The sequence below is a fragment of the Homo sapiens genome, chromosome 12, assembly GCF_000001405.40.
Source record: "Homo sapiens chromosome 12, GRCh38.p14 Primary Assembly".
NCBI lineage: Eukaryota > Metazoa > Chordata > Mammalia > Primates > Hominidae > Homo > Homo sapiens.
The window spans coordinates 104588102-104607921 of NC_000012.12; the positions used below are offsets into that span (position 1 = coordinate 104588102).

The 19820-nt window shown below is 46.5% G+C and overlaps 1 protein-coding gene and 1 non-coding gene across 5 annotated transcripts in view, besides 4 other annotated features; both read left to right on the forward strand.

Moving 5' to 3' along the window:
- Positions 1 to 19820, forward strand: part of CHST11 (carbohydrate sulfotransferase 11) — a 305067-nt gene that overhangs the window by 131154 nt on the left and 154093 nt on the right. For 2 of the 4 annotated variants that reach the window (NM_018413.6, NM_001173982.2), the window contains exon 2: positions 13805 to 13890. The exons of the other annotated variants lie outside the window; for them this stretch is intronic. In NM_018413.6, the coding sequence (NP_060883.1) occupies positions 13805 to 13890 (86 nt within the window). The remainder of the gene's footprint in view (positions 1 to 13804; positions 13891 to 19820) is intronic. 4 annotated transcript variants of the gene reach the window in all.
- On the forward strand, positions 3532 to 3615 carry MIR3922 (microRNA 3922). The gene has a single exon (NR_037487.1). It is a non-coding gene; the product is annotated as a microRNA 3922 (primary transcript).
- Positions 15402 to 16029: an enhancer, noted in NCBI's record as "H3K27ac hESC enhancer chr12:104997281-104997908 (GRCh37/hg19 assembly coordinates)". NCBI's record gives its function as "activates a minimal SCP1, AML or CMV promoter by ChIP-STARR-seq in naive H9 embryonic stem cells {active_cell/tissue: H9 hESC(naive)}" and the evidence as "EXISTENCE:reporter gene assay evidence [ECO:0000049][PMID:30033119]".
- Positions 16030 to 16656: an enhancer, noted in NCBI's record as "H3K27ac hESC enhancer chr12:104997909-104998535 (GRCh37/hg19 assembly coordinates)". NCBI's record gives its function as "activates a minimal SCP1, AML or CMV promoter by ChIP-STARR-seq in naive H9 embryonic stem cells {active_cell/tissue: H9 hESC(naive)}" and the evidence as "EXISTENCE:reporter gene assay evidence [ECO:0000049][PMID:30033119]".
- Positions 17078 to 17665: an enhancer, noted in NCBI's record as "H3K27ac-H3K4me1 hESC enhancer chr12:104998957-104999544 (GRCh37/hg19 assembly coordinates)". NCBI's record gives its function as "activates a minimal SCP1, AML or CMV promoter by ChIP-STARR-seq in naive H9 embryonic stem cells {active_cell/tissue: H9 hESC(naive)}" and the evidence as "EXISTENCE:reporter gene assay evidence [ECO:0000049][PMID:30033119]".
- Positions 17666 to 18253: an enhancer, noted in NCBI's record as "H3K27ac-H3K4me1 hESC enhancer chr12:104999545-105000132 (GRCh37/hg19 assembly coordinates)". NCBI's record gives its function as "activates a minimal SCP1, AML or CMV promoter by ChIP-STARR-seq in naive H9 embryonic stem cells {active_cell/tissue: H9 hESC(naive)}" and the evidence as "EXISTENCE:reporter gene assay evidence [ECO:0000049][PMID:30033119]".

Genomic DNA, 19820 nt, shown 5'->3' on the forward strand with positions numbered 1-19820 from the left:
TATTTACATGTAAAATTCACCCACTTTAAGTGTAGAATTCAATGAATTTTAGCATATTTATAGAGCCGTACAGCATCCCCGCAGTCTAATTTTAGAACATTTCCATCACCCTAGAAAGAAACTCTGTGTCTATTTATTGTCACTTGCCATCCCCACCCCTGGCCTTAGGCAATTGCTGGTCTACTTTCTGTGTCTATGTACTTACCAGTTCTGGACATTTTTTGCACTTCATTTGCAATCATCCTAGGTTTTTAAGAAAACAATTTTGGCATCTCAAACAATATTGGGGTCACCTTCTCAAGCCACTTTTCGGGTTACAGCCTCAGAAGGCTGAAGCTGCTTTCTTCAGAACTGAGCTCTGCTCTGAGTGGGTTCCTGCAGCCTATGACCCAGACTTGAGTCACAGACTGGCTCATTCCAATGTCTTGCCGCCAAAGACCAGACCCACCCAGGTGGCTTCCTTATGTCTTGATTCCTTCCTTGCCTGCCTCGGGCTCACAAACAGCTTTAAGACTTAGTTAAGTGAGAGCTGACTGAAGTCCATCCCGGTGATGTTTGACCTAAGGTCACTGTTCTAAAGTTCTGTACATGACAGCCATGCTCCATTGCCCACCTGCCATCCTTACAGCACCAACTTGGAGGCCACCAGCCAACCTGCTCACCAGCAGCCTCTGGGCTCCGCCTCAGGGTGTTGCTCCACGTCCCAGCAAAACAGCTTAAAAAGCAAAACCGCAGCCAGGAGTTGCATAGATACCTGAACACCCGTGTTCATAGCAGCATGAGTCACGGTGGCCAGAAGGTGGAAGCAACCCTAATGCCCATCAGTGGATGAATGAATAGTGGTATGTATGATGGGATATTATTCAGAATAATAATATGTCAGAATAACGAAATTCTCATACATCCTACAGCATGGATGGACTTAGAAAACATTACGCTAAGTGAAAAAAGCCAGACACAAAAGGACAGACACTGTATGATCCTACTTGTATGAAGTACTTAGAATATTCTAATTCAGCTGGGTTTGGTGGCTCACATCTGTAATTCCAGCACTTTGGGAGGCCGAGGTGGGTGGATTGCTTGAGTCCAGGAATTCAAGGCAAGCCTGGGCAACATGGCGAAACCCATCTCTATAAAAAAAATTCAAAAATTAGTCAATGATGGTGGCCTGTGTCTGTAGTCCCAGCTACTCTGAAGGTTGAGGTGGGAGGATTGCTTGAGACTGGAAGGCAGAGGTTGCAGTGAGCCAAGATTGTACCACTGCACTCCAGCCTGAGTGACACAGCAAGATCTTGTCTCAAAAAAAAAAAAAAAAAAATTCAAATTCATAGAGACAGGAAATAGAATGGGGGTTACCAGGGACAAGAGAGACGGGAATGGGGAGTTGTTATTTAATAAGTACAAAGTGATGTATAGTTGGTGATAGTTGCACAAGAATGTGAATGTACTTAATGCCACTGACCTGGACACCTGAAAGTGGTCAAAATGGTAAATTTTATGTTATGTGTATTTTATCACAATAACAAAAAAGCAAAACTGCAGTTGTATTATTTCTTGCCTTGAAGAACTTATTCAAGGGTTCTGGTTTGACTACAGAATCAAATGAATGCTTTTTCGGTTTGGCCTCAAATCCTTTTCTGGGATGACTTAAAGTTCCCAGCACTTTGGGAGGCTGAGGCAGGCGGATCACCTGAGGTCAGGAGTTCAAGACCAGCGTGGTCAACATGGTGAAACCCCGTCTCTACGAAAATACAAAAATTAGCTGGGCGTGGTGGCACATGCCTGTAATCCCAGCTACTCGGGAGGCTGAGGCAGGAGAATTGCTTGAATCCGGGAGGAGGAGGCTGCAGTGAGCCAAGATGGCGCCACTGCACTCCAGCCTGGGCAACAAAGCGAGACTCTGTCTCAAAATTAAATAAATAAATAAATAAATAAATGAAGATGCCTCACCCTAGCTGGCCCGTCCCTTGGCTATTAGGTGCCGCATGACCCTTGTAAGTACCTACACCCAGGCCCCTGGCCTCGTTGGCCCCATCTGGCACAGTTTCTCCCCCTCCTCTTCTCCAGATGGCCTGCACGTGCGCTGTCTATGTGCGCACCTGTTCCTCATGTCTAGCTGATCCAGCATCCCCAGACTCTTCCAAGATACAAATCCCCTGGGGTGCTCATCAAGCTTGAAGCTTCCCAGGCCCCTTTGTAGGAGAATCTGATTCAGAAGGGCTGGGAATATATGTTTTTTAAATAAGTACCTCGGATGACTCTTATCAGGAAAGTTTAGAAGACCTTGGACTGGGGTGACTGTATTTCAAAACGGTTTAGTTTCCTGTCTTTTGGGAAAGGCACTTCCATTCATTCATTTATTCATTCAGCCCTGAATTTAGGCCCCTTTTAGGAACCGAGGATATTGTGATAGACAAGACAGTCCAAGTCCTTTTGCTCATGAAACTTAGGGTCTCGTGGTGGCAACAGACAACAGCCAATAAAGCATTTAAGATAAAAAGACAGGAGAGAATCAATGCCTTGAAGAAGCATATGGCAGGCGGGGCGCAGTGGCTCATGCCTGTAATCCCAGCACTTTGGGAGACTGAGGCGGGCAGATCACTTGAAGCCAGGAGTTCAAGACCAGCCTGGCCAACATGGTGAAACCCTGTGTACTTAAAAATGCCAAAAATTAGCTGGACATGGTGGCACACGCCTGTAATCCCAGCTACTTGGGAGGCTGAGGCACAAGAATTGCTCGAACATGGGAGGTGGGGGTTGCAGTGAGCCAATATCGCACCACTTTACTCCAGCCTGGGTGAGAGAACGAGACCCTGTCTTAAAAAAAAAAAAGAATATAGCAAAGAATGGGAGGAACAGGAGAGAGAGGAAGTGAGGCCATGGGAGACAGTGTGTCCAGGGAAGCTCTCTCTGGGGACCTGATGATGCGGTCAGAGGGCAGAGTAAAGAAGAGAACAGTTGTTGGTGTTGGGAGAGGGACTCCAGGCTGACAGAGCAGTGAGTGCAAAGGCCCTGAGGCTCATGCTTGGTTTTTTGGAGAAAGAGCAAGATGACCAGTATGGTGGAGGAGGGGCAGAGGCAGGCGGGGCTATATCATGGGGGGCCTCTGGGCCGTGGAAAGACTTTGGATTTTGTTCTAAGATGGTGGCAGGTCTTTGGAGCAGGAAGGCTGTTATGATCTGATTTACGTTTCTAGAAGATTATTCTGGCCGCTGGTAGAGAATAGAGTAGGGAGGCCAGGGTGGCAGCAGGGATACCAGTTAAGAGGTTTTTGTCATAGCCCAAGGGGAAGGCGATGATGGCTTGTACCAGGGCGGTGAGGACAGAGACATGCTGATGGGTGGGGCATAGCAGACAGAAAAGGGAATTTAAGAAAATTCCTCACTGTTTGGTCACAGCTAGGGGCATGATGGTGGCATCCACTGTGATGGTGAACATTGTGGGAGGGAAATTTTAGCTGTGGAAGCCATGAGTTCTCTTTATCAATGTTTAACATATTCCATTCATAAGCACCCTCAAATTGAACTTAAAGGAAGAGTCAAGTCAAGGCCAGAGGTCCCACAGCAGGGCTGGAAAGCACACCTGTGGGACTTCTGGCCTTGACTTGACTCTTTCCAGATATCTGAGTCAGACGTTTTCAAAGCATGCACCATGACCCACGGGTGTGTTGTAAAATGGATTTAATGAGTTGTGACTAGTAGTTCATAAAAGAACAATAGAAAATGTTAGTTTGTCACACATAGTAAGGATAGTACTTTTAAAATAAAACTTGTCTCGGTTTTCTATATATATTTGTATGTAAATCACATGCAAAAAGAGAAAGGGATGAGGCCAGGAATCAGGAGATCTTCATTTTAGCTGCAACTCGGCCTATAGCCAGCAGTGTGTCCTTGGACAGATCACCTTCTATCCTGCACGTCCATTTCTTTACCTGCAAAATGGGGTTAGGGATGAGGTGGTTTAATCTTTTAATACCTGGCACCTCCTCCCCTCCCCTCCCCTCTTCTCCCCTCCTCTCCCCTCCCATCTCCTCTCCTCCCTTCCCCTTCTCTCCCTTACTCTCCCTTTCTCTCTTCTCCCTTCCCGTCTCTCATGCTCTCAGTGGGTGGGCAGCATACCCCACTGGCCAGGAGGATTATGTTTGAGGTTTGTGTCTTAATCTGTTCAGGGTGCTACAACAAAATACCATAAACTGGGTGGCTTATACACAACAGAAATTTATTCCTCACAGTTCTGGAGGCTGGGAAGTCCAAGACCAAAGCATTGGCAGATTTGGTGTCTGGTGAGGCCCTGCTTTCTGGTTCATAGACAGTCCCTTCTTGCTATGTCCTCACATGGTGGAGGGGGTAAGTGGTCTTTTTTGGGACGTCTTTTATAAGGGCACTAATTCCATTTAAGAGGGCTCTACCCCCATGACCAAATCACCTTCCAAAGTCCCCACCCTCTAAAATGATTATCTTGGGGGTTAATATTTTAACATGAATTTTAGTGGGGACACAAACATCCAGATTATAGCACTTTGCGTCCTGCCATTTCTCTTGCTCAGTCAGAATCAGTTTTGAGGATACTTTCCCTAACCACGTAGATTCATTCTCTTTCCTTCTGTGAAAGTCATTGGACTAGGTGGTCTCTAAAGGGCCCTTTTTGTCTTAGATGTGCCTGATGGTGCACTAACCTGTCAGGTTGACAACTGATTTGTACTTGGACAGGGATCTTATACTTTCGGAAGTAGGCATGCTGTCTGGGCATGTTTCTGCAGATGGGCCAGAATTCTCTAAAAGAGGGAATGGGTTGGCTGCTGGGGCCATTGGTTTGGGGGACTCCATTTGGTGACCCAGTTCTTCTCCTGGCCGGTAAATATTTTAATGTATACACTATATTCTTCAAAGCTGAGTATTAGAGTCCCCACTGGAAGGCTTCCATGTCAGTAAATCTCACGGCTCTTGGATGAAGCTGCATCTTTTCCCAAGCTATACCAAGCACATTCACGTAATTCTTAGATTTACTCCCTTGACCTTCATATGCCAAGTTTAATTCACTTTAGTTCTACAACCACCTTCTACAGGCTGGGCGTCGGGAGGGGCTCTTGCTTTGAGGAGCTGGAGTAGGAGAGGCCAACACGGGAATGGCTATGATATAGGTTCAGATTATTCTCAAATCAAATCAACCCCAAATCCCTCAGTATTCTTCAGTGAATTTGCTTATAGGGTCTCCAGTAAGGAGAGAGAGATTTGGGAATGGTTTTAATGGCTCTGAATTGTCCCTGTGGGAGGGACTGGGTGAGGGAAGGAATGGGAAGTTGGAAAACTTAAGTTTGATAATGGCATGAATGACAGGTTAGGCTGAACCCTATTTTCACCTCACTGTTTCGAGGCTCCTGAAAAGTCAGTTGTGAATACAAGCGTGCTGAATGTTTTGTAAAGCTCCTGAAGGCCTGATTGGTGGGAGGATATCGGGTCAACATTTGGGACTGCCTATTTGCTTGGTCTCTATCAGTCCCAAACATCTGTAAGCTGTGACATGTCCCATTTCCCAGGAGTGGGGGAAAGCATGCTGGTTTGTGGGTTTGAATCCCAACTCTGACATTCACTAGCTATGTCGCTGGGTCAGTCCTTAACTTCTTTGAGCCTCAGCTTCCTTGTCTGTAAAATGGGTGTGATACGACCTACCTCCTGGCTGGTGGTAAGTAATAGAGAGAGACAGTAATGAAGGCTCATGTTTACTGGGTCTTGGAGAGTTCATTTAAGGCACATCACAGCACCACGACAGCATATCATATTAATTTTTCTTTTTGATTTAACTACTTTGGCTAAGGTAATTAAACCACTTTGAGGAAGCATTGGCACTTTGAGAAGAATTTTTCAGGAGAGAACATGCTAACTCCTCTTCTTTGTTCATTTGCTATTAGTAAGTCATTTGGTCTGATACCCTTTAGTAGAATATCTTTGGTTAAGTCCTCAGATCACTTGATCTGTTGTTTTTATTCATTTGACACAAACATACCGAGTACCTGCTATGCACGGAGCACTTAGGCAGTGGACAGGTAGAGAGGGGCAAACCTGGCAGGTGAGGGGCTTGGCCAGGCCCAGGTGTGATCTCCAGCCCTGCTTTGGGACCTCTGGCCATTCTGTCCCCACACTGGGCCCAGTATTTTCCTCTGCAAATGAGCAGGGTGACCAGACGAGGGCTAAGAAACCCTCAGACTCCAAACATGAGTTTGGATTCAAAGAGCTACAGGATCCTTGAAATAAAATGAAATCTCACAGAGATAGTGGTTCCTGGGTATTTTTAAATCTCGGAGTGGATTAGCTTCAGATGTAGTTTTCGGGAGGACTTATTGGCTTCTGTTTACCTCTCATATTTATGAGAACGGTTTAGGATTGAACCATGTCTAAGCCAAACTGTGATGTAGAAGGCTTCGGGCTTCTGTACTCTCCCTCCTCTTCTCCCCCATCCCCGCTTTTATTTTGCTTTTTCTTCTCTTTCCTCCAGTTCTGGTATTCCTTCCAGAAATCAACTTAAACAATGCACTTGGGTTCTAAGTTTCTTCTTTTGCATTTAAAAGGAGAGTAGGGCTTGACGTGGTGGCTCACGCCTGTAATCCCAGCACTCTGGGAGACCAAGGTGGGAGGATTGCTTGAATGCAGGAGTTCAAGACCAGCCTGGGCAACATGGCAAAACTGTTTCTACAAAAAAATTGCAAAAATTATCTGGGCATGGTGGCATATGTCTGTAGTCCCAGGCACTGGGGAGGCTGAGGTGGGAGGATCGGTTGAGCCTGGGAGGTAGAGGTTGAGATTGGGCCACTGCCCTCCAGCCTGGATGACAGAGCGAGACACTGTCTCAAAAACATAAAAAATAAAATAAAGTAAAAATAAAAGGAGAGTGTTGGCAGTGCTGAACTCAACATAATGTTAGTCATTGCTAAGGAGAGCTTCAAGGTGCCTCTGTTAGAGGTCAGATTCTTCCCACTCTGAGATCCCCTAACTCTGATTCCCTCCTGGGAGAGCTTCAGGTTGCAGCTGGGTTACCGAGACAAGGAGTTTGTCCTAAAAGCTACCCCTGTGGCCCATGCCCCACTGAGCTACAGACTACCAGCTCTGCTTCTATATAAGGTTTTTTTTGGAGGGGATGTCACTATTTTTGTGTTATTATTAGAAAATGATAAAAACCTCACCACCAGGGGTTTTAAAACCCTGGTGGATTGTAACCAGGTAGAGATTGTTCTCACAGCTAGGTGTTGCTTTTCCATTCCCTGCCTCTCCTGGCCTCAGATTCTTTCCTCCTACACCAATTACTGTTTCACTGCTCCCCACCCACCACACCTTCCACCTTGACTCCCCAAACCTGAGCAATTCTAGGGCTTGTTTAACCCATGGTTCTACAGGGAGATGCCCCACCGCCCTGTGTTTGGAAGTTAGGAATTTAGAGTTGGAAGGGACTTAGCGATCACCTGGTTGAACCTCTTCACCTGACGAAGGAGAAAACGAGGCCCAGGGAGACCTTGTTCAAAGTGAAGATCTTAGTTTGGTGGCAGAGCCAGGGCTGGGATCCAGCTCTGTGGCTTTCCACATGGACAGTTTTTGAGTGCCATGGACCAGGCTAGTTGAGTGCCATGGACCAGGTGCCATTTCATTCCCACTACCACCTTATAATACAGGCATTATTAACTGCATTGCATAGTTGAGTTTCAGAGATTAGGAAGTTGACCCAAGGTCCCAAGCCTAGTTAATGGGTAAAACTAGGACTTGAATCCAATTCTGGTTGAAGCTTCTCCTTCCAAATGGTGTTGCTGGGTGAGCAACTCATCTTGGTTTGCCTGGAACTTACTTGGTTTTAGCACTCAAAGTCCTGAATCCTGGGGATCTCCTTGGACCAGGCAAACTAGACTGGTTGGTCACTCTAGTTTCATCACAGTGACCTCAGAAGAGGATGAGGAAGAGCTGGGAGATTTAATGTCCTTTGAGGGCTGACTTTGGGTCCCCCAGGTACAAAACAGAATTGCCTGTCTTTGCAGGAGCAGCTCCTTCTGAAGGAGCTGGGTATTGCTCACTCCTCTAACTTGATGAGGTTGAATCAGACACTGTTCTGTCTTGACAGATGGGCTGGGCCACACTGCTAGGGTTCCAGCATGAATTTGTGCATTTGGAAAAAACGTTTCTGCAACTGCATTGCTGCTCTGCACTCTCAGAGTGTGGAGCAGATGAATCATGCCCAGCCTGTTAGCAAGTCCGGAGATTTGGAAAGTGTCCGAAGTCAACCGAGTATTAGAGTTGTTTTGCCAGCGGAAGGAGCAGAGACCCATCTGGACTTGGGTGATTTAGTACAGCAGTGCTTCATTTCGAAATGTTGAGGGAAGTGACAGTCCAAAAATGGTAGGAGTTGTAAGGGTAAAAGCGTCTTTTACTGCCTTTCGAGACAGCACGGTGAAGAGCACCAGTGCTGGAAATAAACAGACGTGGGTTGTCAATTTGCTACTTGCCCTTGCTGACTGTGTGATCTTGGACAAGTTACTTAACCTCTCTGGGCTTCAGTTTTCTCAAGTGCAAAGTGGGACTAGATGATATCATTATTACATCTAACTTAAAGTGTTTTTTTATGAGGATTCAATGAAACAATGTGAGAAAAAGGCTGAGCATTGTGTCAGGCATCAGATACATGGTACATTCTCGCTACGTGGTAGTTTATTTTGTGAGATATGACTTCCGTCCCTGGTTCTGCTGCTAGCTACACTGGGCAGTTCAGGCAAGCATGTAAGGTCTCCGAGTTTCTTCTGTAAATCGAGGGGATTGGCCTATACTCGAATCCCTTGGAATTCTGAATGTCTTTGGTTTTAGGACATGCGTGAGAGGCAAGTTCCTACTCAGGGTCCCACAGTATTTCAGTTCTATGTCTTCAGACCTGAATTAACAATCCAGCATCTCCCCTGCATTCCAGCAGCACTGAGAGGGGTCACAGGGAGTCGCCCAGAGAACCAGGTGGGCTTCATTCCTTTGTCCTGAGCCAGCTCTCCGTGGGCTGCTCTCAGTTAGCAGACTGGGAATGGAGTGTCCACTTGAAAACAACGTGCTCTTCATTACAATGAAACAAACACGAGCGGCTTGAGTTTAATTTTAGCTTCATTTATGTATCGTGGGAGATATAGAACTGTTCCTGGGTCCAAGAAATCATACTGTAAATTGAGCTAATTAGATTCTTTAAAAAAAAATCTTTAATCCCATTGATTTGAGTTTAGAGAGGAGAAAACAAGTGTTGTGGCTAAATAAAACTCCCAGTGGGCGGGGTGGACAGCAGAAGCCTGCCGTTAAATGTCCTCAGGGCCTCAGGGATTTCTTTTGCGGGGCTTTTGATCATCAGACCTTTCATTTTTCAAAGGAAAAAAAAATAACCATAGCCTAATGCTACTGGCAGTTTTCTCCTTATATAGCAAGAACCAAACCTCTCTGATGCTCTTAAAGGAAGTGTTAAATCTTCTATCATTCATAAACCTTTTGAGTACCTACTACGTGCCAAGCACCACAGCAACAAATGAATAGGTTAGAGAGAGGCTCTATCCCCAAACCCAGTGCCTGGCGAGTTGCCCTGCACATCGTAGGTGCTTGATAAAAACTTGTCGAATGAATGAGTGTAATGAAACCATTAATTAATAGTTTGCCATCACAGCATTTTGATGAATCCTGTTGTATTTTGGACTTGTCCTGGAAGTGGCCAGCCAACCAGGTCTCAGGCCAGGAGGAGACTAGGGAGATGTTTGACTTACCTGTCAGTGAAGAGGTGACCCAGTGTGGCAGCTGAGACCATGGGCTGTCTAAGGCAGAATTCTGTCTCCACCTCTTTCTAGTCATGAGACCTGGGCAAGTTACCTAACCCTGCCATGCCTCAGTATTCTCATCAGTAAAGTGAGAATGGTAGTAGTACCCGCACCATGGGACTGTTGTGGGGATTAAATATGTGAACTGCTTGGCGAAGCATTGGTGCCCTCTAAAAGTTAGCTGCCACCATCTGGGCCTTGGTTACTCAAACTTCCCTAATGCCACTTGTAAGATACATGTGAGGTGAATATACTCATGTGCATAATTGCTGGTCCTTCCTTTGCATCCCAGGCAACAGAGTAGGTCCTCATTGTTACCATTTACATATGACTAGCCCAGAAGTCATTTGTGGCCCCTGGAAACCAAAAGCCCCCAGTGGTCTAAACCTGAGAGGGTACAGTGGAGCTCAGCTTCTAGGGAGGGTCCGAACCTTCGCACAGCATCAGCAGTAGGAGATGTTCTACAGCTCTTATTGTAGATGCTACAGTGTCTTCTGAGGTAGATGGAGCCAGGTTGTGTGGAAATTGTTTATTCTGTAATTGGATGCTCAAGAATCAGAAAGCATAAAGAGTATAATTTGTGTCTCTCTTCCCCATGGTGGGGAAGTCTTATTAAAATGCAGATTCCTGGGCCTTAACTTCCATCTCCCCCTCCTTCTGATTCAACAACTCTGGGATGAAGCCCAAGAATGTGCCCAGAAATCTGCTTTTTTAACAAGCAATATCATGGGGAAAGTGAGTAGGGCACACGTTGAGAAACTCTAGTTTTTGGAACATGACACGGAGGATTTGGGGAACTTTATCTTTTCTTGACTCTCCTTCTCATCCTTCCACAGATCACTGGGCCCCTCCTGAGTCGTCTGGCTCCTTCTTTCCTCTTGGGGAGAGATAAAGTGCTGGCCCAAGCCTCCCACCCTGGTGGGTGGGGTGGGCCTTGACTCAGTGGTCTGTATCCTCGTGGCCAGCTGGCCTAGCTGAGTTGGGAGGTGACCCTCACCTCACAGGTTGGGCAGCACCTGTCAGTCTCGAGGCTCAGCTTGGCTCCTTTCCACTCACATGACCTTGACCATGGCCAAGTGCCTGCAGCTAAGGGAGGCGCGGAGGGGTTATCTGTAAAATGCAGGTACTTCCTTTACCGTGGGAAGGATCACACTGCACCGACTGCCTGTTGCATAGCGAGCACTCCAGAAACGGTGGGGTTGTTATCATTCCCATAAAAGGCACACAAGGCCCCTTTAGCTTTTGTGGTCTGGGGAGCCAAGGCCGGTTCCCATGGCACCCAGTGAAGTCACGGGCAGGGCTGATGGCTGTGGGCAAAGAACCCAAGGTTCAGGCCCCACACGGTCAAAGCATTTTAAAGGCCTTGTATTAGACAAATAAACCAATTAAATAATACTGCCCCCCATAAAAGCAGACTTTTAATGGATTCCATGGTAGGCTTTTCACCGCGCGGTCCCGGAGCCATGGGCCTCGATGAGCCCGTCTGCCGCCATAGGGAGAATTTAATCTTGCCCGGCATGGGCATAATTTTACGAGTTTTATGGCTGTTTTTACTTCTCCGAAGTGTTGCTATGTCATTGTGCACCAAGGGCAACTTGCGTGCATTTCACAGTTTACCTCCTTTTTGGTGGAAATGAAAAATGAAGTCATAAATTAAAGAAAAACACAACATAGAATTTTTTTCCGTCTTCTTGGGGCAACTGGAGGAACAAAGAACCAGTGTTTCTCTGTACAGCCTGATCAAATTCTAATGGCTTTAATGTATTGACATTTGCCTGCGATTCCCTCCTCCCCAGGGAAGACTGTGGGCATGTAGCTATGTTTGGAGCTTGTACTACTGACCCCGAGAAGACCTGGGGCAGTTCTCTAGGGCAAGGGTTGGCAAACTCTAGCCCAAGGGCCAAATCTGGCCCACTGCCCATTTTTGTTCATTGGTGGAAAAAACTCAAAAGAAGAATAATATTTTCTGACACATGAAAATTAGATGACATTTTCCCAGATTTCCCTGTTCATCAGTGAAGTTTTGTTGGCACCCAGCCACACCCATTCATTTCTGTATCGTTTGGGGAGGATTTCACACCACAGTGGCCCTGCGGAAGAGTTATGACAGAGACTGCAGGGTGCAAAGCCTAAATACTGTTTGGCCCCTTACAGAAAATTTTGCTGACCCCTGCCCTAGGAAGTCAAGGAAAAGGAAAGAGAAAACATGGCATCTTGTTTCTGGGCATTGATGATTGACTTTCAGAGTTTCCACGTGGCTCAAAGTGACAAGTCAACGGAGGCTCACCTGAGCAGTAGTTTTTCCTCCGGAGACCTTCCAGATGTCATCAGCTGCTTTTGGATGACTCTCCTCCCTTTCCTGACCTCAGATTGACTTCTAAGCAGAGGTCCCTGGGCTAACCCCCTGCAGCCAGCCCTCCCAGTCATTTGAGCTGCACCCTGCTTGAGGTCTGGTCACTCCTCATCAGTCCCCTTGATAGCCACAAATAGAGAAGTTCCCGCCTTCCTCCCAGGGGGATCTAAAATAGCTTCTGAAATTTGTCACCAACACTTTTAAACTGTGGCTTTTGGCCAGGCACAGTTTTAAGCATTCTGCACATAGTAGTTACTCATTTAATCTTCACATCCAACCCAGGAAGTTAGATGCCCCTGTCATTCCCATTTTACAGACAAAGAAGCAGAGACACAGAGAGGTTAGGTAGTTTCCTTAAGGTCACACAGCTGGTAGTGGTAGAGCCAGTATTGAAACCCAGGCTATCTGTTCCAGGGAATGTCCTGCTGTCCATTCATTGCCTCTGTGGAGCAGGTGAATTCTTTAGGCTCATGAAAGGATCTAGTTTTCCTTGTTCCACTCATGCCACTGTTGCACCTCAAACCATAAGAAAACTGCCTCGTACTTGAGAAGAAAGCCCCATTTATTCTTCCCCCATCTCTCTTTTTTCCCTCTCTCCTTCTTTCCTTTCTTCCTTCCCTCCCTTCTTCCCTCCTTCCTCCTTCTCGGCTTCCTTTTTTCCTTTCCTCCTTCCTTTCCTCCCTCTTTTCCTCTCTCCTTCTTCCCTTCCCTTCCTTCCTTCGCTTGCTCCCCTCCCTTTCCTTCTCCTTTCCTCCTTCCCTCCTTCCTTCTCTCCCTCTCTACTGCTCTCTTTCCTTCCCTCCTACCTTCCTTTTTTCCTTCCTTCCTTCCCTCTCTCCCAATTTCATCCCTCCCTTCCTCCTTCCTCCTCCCTCCAACAAATAATGATCAAGCCCATGACTATGCGTTACATAATGCATGAGGGGCTGCACAGAGTGAACAAGAAAAATGAAAAAGAAAGAATTCATTGCCATTTAAAAAGAGCTCTTGGTGGCTTCAATGTTGGTGGGGTTTGAGGAGTTCACTTATTCCCCCTCTTTTATTAATTGTAAGTACCATCTCTGTCTGGAATCATAAACTCTTGTCTTTTCTGCTTCATGCTGATATTTTCACTAAAAGTAACATAATTTAGGAGAGGTTTTGGGGAGGCTGGGCCTCTGACCTGTCCAGTGGGAGGAGCCTCCTGGGGAAGGACCTGCCCATTCTCAGAAGCCCAGCTTTCAGGGACAAGGAATGAAAGGTCATTGACTGTTGCTGGAGAAGTCTGCGGAATCTTAAAATGTGTTACCAAGCCTGCTGCTGGGTAGAACTTGCTGTCTTGAAGCAGCCATTACGCCATCTTTTGTAAGTGGTTTCATTTCAATGAGCTTTAGATGCCTGTCCTGTTTTCTTAAAACACTTGCTGGGGAGACTTTTTAGCATGATCTAGATCCTTCTGGGTGTGGAGATGCCTGAATGTTGGGAAGACAGACAGCAGCTGTGCTGTTGGAGAAGGGACAGTGTGGAAATCTTCCTTTGCTAGAAGCTGGTTTTCTCTTTCTTTCCTGCCTGTTTCTTCTTCCCTACTCTGTGCCTTTTTCTTTGACAGACAACAAATCTTTGTTGCTCATTTCTGATGAGCCTTCACTTTCTTTCCTCAGTCATGCGGAGGAATCCCTTTGGTGTGGACATCTGCTGCCGGAAGGGGTCCCGAAGCCCCCTGCAGGAACTCTACAACCCAATCCAGGTAAGCTTCAAGCACTCTGTCAGCATGTGAATTTTTTTTTTTTGTAGGTATGGATACTAAAAACTCTAAAATTGTGGTCTTTGGGGGATTTAAAACTTCCTTTCACAGCCTGGCATTTTACCTTCAGTGGTTGCTTTCTCCGTCACCCTTTTTCTATGTAGCATCTCTGAAAAATCTAGCAGGGGATGTTTAGAATTAGAGAAATGCCTAGGTTTAGTGCTAAGCATTCAGACCTGCCCAGGGTTTGAACTCCTGAGATTAACAGTCTCAAGTTCGAGCAATGGGACTCGGGAATTAAAGGTCCACCGAAGCTGTGCAGTCTTCCCTTTGGTATCCCCAAAGGAAGAGTTGCACATGGGTACACTTGACACCCATTCCCACATCCCACATATTAAAGCCCAGTGATGCCCCACCTCACTGTGCCAGTTTGGCAAACTCCCTTGCGAGCGGGGACCTTTTGCTAAGTGACTGCCTCAGTAAATCTAACTCGTTAGTTTAATGAGGCAGCAAACGTGGCCTCTGTGCCATCAATTATGAAAAGAGCTCCTCTTTGAGCAAAAGAAAAGCTCCAACCAAGGAAAAGTGTCTTCTGTGGAAAGCTAGTGCAAAGTTAGGAGGCCTGGTTGCCATGGCAACAGCCTCAGTGGTGTGTGTGGGTCTTGATGTGGAGACTCTGGGGCTGATCCTTTTGTAGGAACATTAATTAGCACTTGATGCCCAGAACTGGTAAGTGAACAACTAGCAGCAGCATCAGTGGACCTTCGATAGCCGTAGAGAAAGAGGGAAAAATGTACTGCTTTGGCTACAGTCTCTGACTAAATTTAATACTTCTTTGGACCAAGGTACCTGGTGGAGGAAGATAATGCACGGGCCTCAAAGGTGTCGAATTTTTAGAACTCTTGTAAAGGGATGCACTTGAGAACTATCTGATGCCCCCTACCCCCCTTCCCAATCTCTCACCTGCACTCCCTTCTGGAAAAATGGACTCCTGAATTTATGCATCATGGGTGGCCTAATTAGGTTAACTCATGCCCTGTCTTGAGGTGTGACTTGGCCAGATTAGCCCATTAATTGCCAAGTCAGTATTGCCTGAGGCTTCCTGTACTGGGTTCGGTGGTGACTCAGTGGGGAATTTGATAGTTGGGTTCCCTTTGGTGCCCAAAAAATCTCCATATTATAGGCAGGTCTCCCAGCCTGTCCACACACACCCTGTCCTAAGGAAGAGGCAGAACTGTGCTTCAACAAAGGATAGGATTTCTGGTAACCCGTGTCAAAAACAACACAGGCTCCTCAGATGCAAACCATTCCCTTCTTTTTGTTGATATCCTCTGTTCTCAGATGATTTTCTCCTTCAAAACAAAACTACTGAAACACTGCTGCAAATTTTATGGGTAACATATGGTGTCATGGGAAAAGCTATATCTGAAGTCACCGCCCCTGTGGATGGAAGGTCCATGGACTGCGTCTGTCCTGTTCACTGTTGGCTCCTCAGTACCTAACACAGGGCTCTCAAATACTTGTGATTCAAAACATGAAAGTCCAGGTTCAAATCCCGGCTTCATCTCTAACTAGTTGTGCAACCCTGAATATATGATGAGTTATCTTTAGGGGTCAGTTTTCCTACCTAAAACTCTCCCTGGAATGTTGGGAGGATGAAATAATTCTGATGTGTCAGGGGCTCTGTCAGTATGATTTGTCATTTTTGTGGTCAGGAGGGTGGCTTCCATATCAGAAGCCTTGACTTAGGAGTCAGACCTGGGTTCAAAGCCTAGTTTCATCATTTCTTAGCTATGTGACTATGGGGTGTTTACTTAACCTCTCTGAGATTTCTTTCCTTGATTTATAATGTGGCATGAGCAATACCTGCCTTGCAGTGTTGCATGTGGTGATGTGTCTTGCTTGGAGCTTCCTGTGGAGTTTGCTCCTTCATGGGTTCATTCACTCCTTTTTTTCATTCATTTCTTCATGTGCTGTTACATGTACCTAGGAACATATAGCTTAGTAGCTTAGCAGCTTAGCACTAGGCGCTGGGCACAAAAGGGTGGAGAGGGTGTGTGCTTAGCCTTTTGTGGCTGGTAACTCTGGGCCCAGAGTTGAGGGGAATGATTTGACTGGCGAGGCAGACTCTGCTTGGTCCCATTGTAAACCAGTCATAGAAGAGATGCCTGTCCTGGGTAGGGGCCCTCTCTTCCTTCCGGTAGTGTTCTGAGCATTGTCTGGATGACAGGCCTATTGAGCAGTAGCCTGGGACTTGGGAGGGAAACTAGGGCTGGAGAGCAGCTCTGGGAGGCATTGGGGAGGGCGTAGGTGGATGAGTCACCATCCTCCCTCAAGGACGTCTTGGGCAAGTTGTCTGGCCCCATTAGCCAGCAACCAGGGAAATGTAGCTGCAGGAAAATCACCTCGTTTCCTCGGGATGTTTTTTCTTAGGCTGGTTTCCTTTACAAGCTGCAATTATGTTCCATCCCACGCAAGTTCAGTAAGTGGCACTTTTCAGAGAAACTGTCTTGGTGATCATTTGGGCTGCTGTGGGCCAGGGAGTTGAGGAGAGAAGGGAGTGAGAGCTTCTACTGAGTTTAGTTGGTTTTGTGTCCATGAGCCATTTACAAACTTTGCACCTGATTGGGCTCAGTTGCAGTTTCTTGTATTTCCCTACCAGCCAAGCTGTTGAAGCTGCTGAGCCCGGAATGATGTTATCACTGAGGCAGATGACAAACCCTCTAGTTGCTAGAAACCAAACTGCTCCCCGAGCTGGTGTTTCCGTTTTTTGTACTGACTGCTTATTTGGGCTTGATATATAATGGTGAAAACAGGAACTGTTTATTTTAGGTGATAAGAAACCAACATTATGACAAGAAGATGTCATCTTAGTTACTCTGTTACCAGTACCATAGGCCAGATACTATCTAGATGCTTATAAACATCTTATCTAATCCTTGTAATAATAAGCCCCAAGCTAGGTTTTATATCCCCATTTTATGGATGGGGGAACTGAGGCCAATAACTTCATATAACTTATCCAAGGCCACAAAACTAGTAATAAACAGAGTGAAATTCAACCCAAAAACAAACTACAAATCCAAATTTCTTTACCTCTATGCTGTCTGTACTTGCTGTTACTAGCAAAGTTCTCTTGGTGGGAGTTACCCCATCCCCTCTCCAAAAAAAAAAAAAAAAAAAAAATCAAACCCAGATTTTCACTGGACAAAGGGTTGGGAAAATTGGGAAATTTTGGCTATAATCTGGGAAAACTGGCTATAATATGGGGAAATTGGCTATAATCTGATTTGAGTGTACAGAGTTTTTTATTTTAGTGTCCAAGATTTCTTATTTTAGTGCCTTGCAAACCCCTAACCAATAAAACAACAACGGGGTCAGGAGATCGAGACCATCCTGGCTAACACGGCGAAACCCCGCCTCCACTAAAAATACAAAAAATTCTATGGGCGTGGTGGCGGGCGCCTACAGTCCCAGCTTCTCCGGAGGCTGAGGCAGGAGAATGGCGTGAGCCCGGGAGGCGGAGCTTGCAGTGGGCGGAGATTGCGCCACTGCAGTCCAGCCTGGGCGAAAGAGCCAGACTCCGTCTCAAAAAAATAAAAAATAAAAAAAAAAGTTTGGAGTTGATATTCTTAGAAAAACTGTACTCTGATGTCTTATAATTTTCCTGGTTCTCTGCTGTTTCCTTGGCCCCAAAATAAAATGTAATTGCCGATCAGATCAGCTGGAATCAAGTCACCGAAAGTTCAGGAGGTGTCAACTGCATATTTGTGGGCCGAGCACATCTGCGGGCCGCTCTGGCTCAGTTCAGAGGCACAGGGCAGAGCTGCATTGTCAGCCATTAATAGGGCCTAATTTCCCCTAAATGCCAGCTAGGGCGAGACAGCTTGTCCTTCTGCCCCGCCCACCTCCTGGTCCTCTCGTGGGTTCCCTGAAATCTTCACAACATCATCATGTGGTTCAGCCCTGCCCTGCTTGGTTCTTTCTTTAGCATTTACACTTGCTCTGTGATTACTATGTTGCAAGGGGAGAGACTCACAGCACAGGGCTGTCCGTGAATTTATAAGCGCTGAGTCTAGGAGGTTTGCATAGGGCACAGCAGATCCAATTGTTCTAGGGGTCTCTGAGGACCAAACAGTGTCCAAGGGATTTAGAGGAATTCTGGGGAACTCTCTGGGGCGGGGGGCGGGGGGGGGAATGGCTCCAGGAAAACTGAGAATGACAAGATCTTGGAGGCCCCCACTGAAATCTCTGTTACATGGTGGCGCCTCATTGGTCAAGTCTTCAGGGTGCTAAAGTAAACTTACTTCTCCATCAGTTAGACTCCAGGAAGCAGGATGAGGAGGAGGATGAGGAGGGAGAAGGAAGGTCGGAAGGAAAGAAGGATGAGAGAGAAAAAGGAAGACAAATTACTATTTACTAAATGTATAATACATGCCAGTGACCATTCTACATATTTTTCACACGTCTCATGGAATCTTTACAACAACCCGAAGAGGAAGGTCTCCAGTAACCCCGTTTTTTAGTTAAGTTAACTGAGGCTCAGAGGGTTGAGCAATGTGCCAATCACACAGCTCCTAAATGGGAGAGCCAGGCCTATGAAGCCTGGCTAGGTTGCAGGATGAGGAGAGGCTGGTGCTTTATTTTTCCCGGGTGAAAACATGCTTCCTTGAGATTCTCTTTCCCAGTGACTCAAGCGAGACCTGAGGTATGCTCAGGACCAGTTGCAAAATTCACAAAAGCAGGGGCCAGGACTTCTGGAATGGCATGGAATGGACAATAGCTGTAAACAATTACAGGCTGGGCACAGTGGCTCACGCCTGTAATCCAACACTTTGGGAGGCTGAGGTGGGCAGATCACCTGAGATCAGGAGTTCTAAACCAGCCTGGGCAACATAGTGAAATGTCGTCTCTACCAAAAATACAAAAATTCGCCCGGCATGGTGGCTCGTGCCTGTAATCTCAGCTACTCGGGAGGCTGAGGCAGGAAAACCTGGGAGGCGGAGGTTGCAGTGAGCCAAGATCATGCCCCTACACTCCAGCCTGGGTGATAGAGTGAGACTCTGTCTCAAAAAATAAAAATAAATAAATAAATAAATATATAAATAAAAATTGCAGATTTATTTTTTGCTTAGTGAACCTGATAGATAGCCCAGTGAAGGACAGGCCTTTGACTCCTGGCTGGAGCTGTCAGAGAAGGAGTCACCCCTGAGAATTCTGCCGTGGGATAGAGCATCGCATCTTGGTGACATTTGGAAGCTGGGCTCATTGATTTCATTGAATGTTTTAGATTGATAAAAGCTTGTAATAGTCCAAAGGTTGTTGGGGCAGTTGCGGGGGACTCTCTTAGCCCCAACCTAAATAGCTTTTTCAGCAATGCTTGACAAAATGTGTTCCTTCTATGGACACTTGTAGAATAAACAGAGGAAAAGGGCGTGGGGAGGAGAGGCACCTAGGTCATGTAACCTGATAAGCGGTATATAATAGAAGCTTTTTGCAAAGTTATGAGAGAATCAGGAGTGAGTGGTTAGCCTCTGAGGGGCGGTGCGCAGTGGGGGCCTTTATACAGGATTTGAGTCCGGTCTCTGAAGACACAGCACACTTCCCCATGTTAAAGAAGAGAGACAGCATCACAGAACGGGGAACATCAGCGAGGCCACAGGGAGACAGTCCATGGCGCATTCAGAGAACTGTGAGGGGTTTGTGGCTGGAGTGAAGGTGATGCCAGGGGCGGATCGGAGAGGGGGCAGGAGTGGCAGGTTGGTAGCATGTGGATCAGGTCATGTCTGCCATTCTGGTCATTTCCAATCCATCTGGTTTTTACCTATTGGCAGGGTTGGAGGTCACGAGGAGCCCACAAAAACTGGCGTGCATCTTATAACCTAGCTTCTCCTTTGGCCGCTTGCTAACTGTGGGGCTTCTCCAGGGCAGGT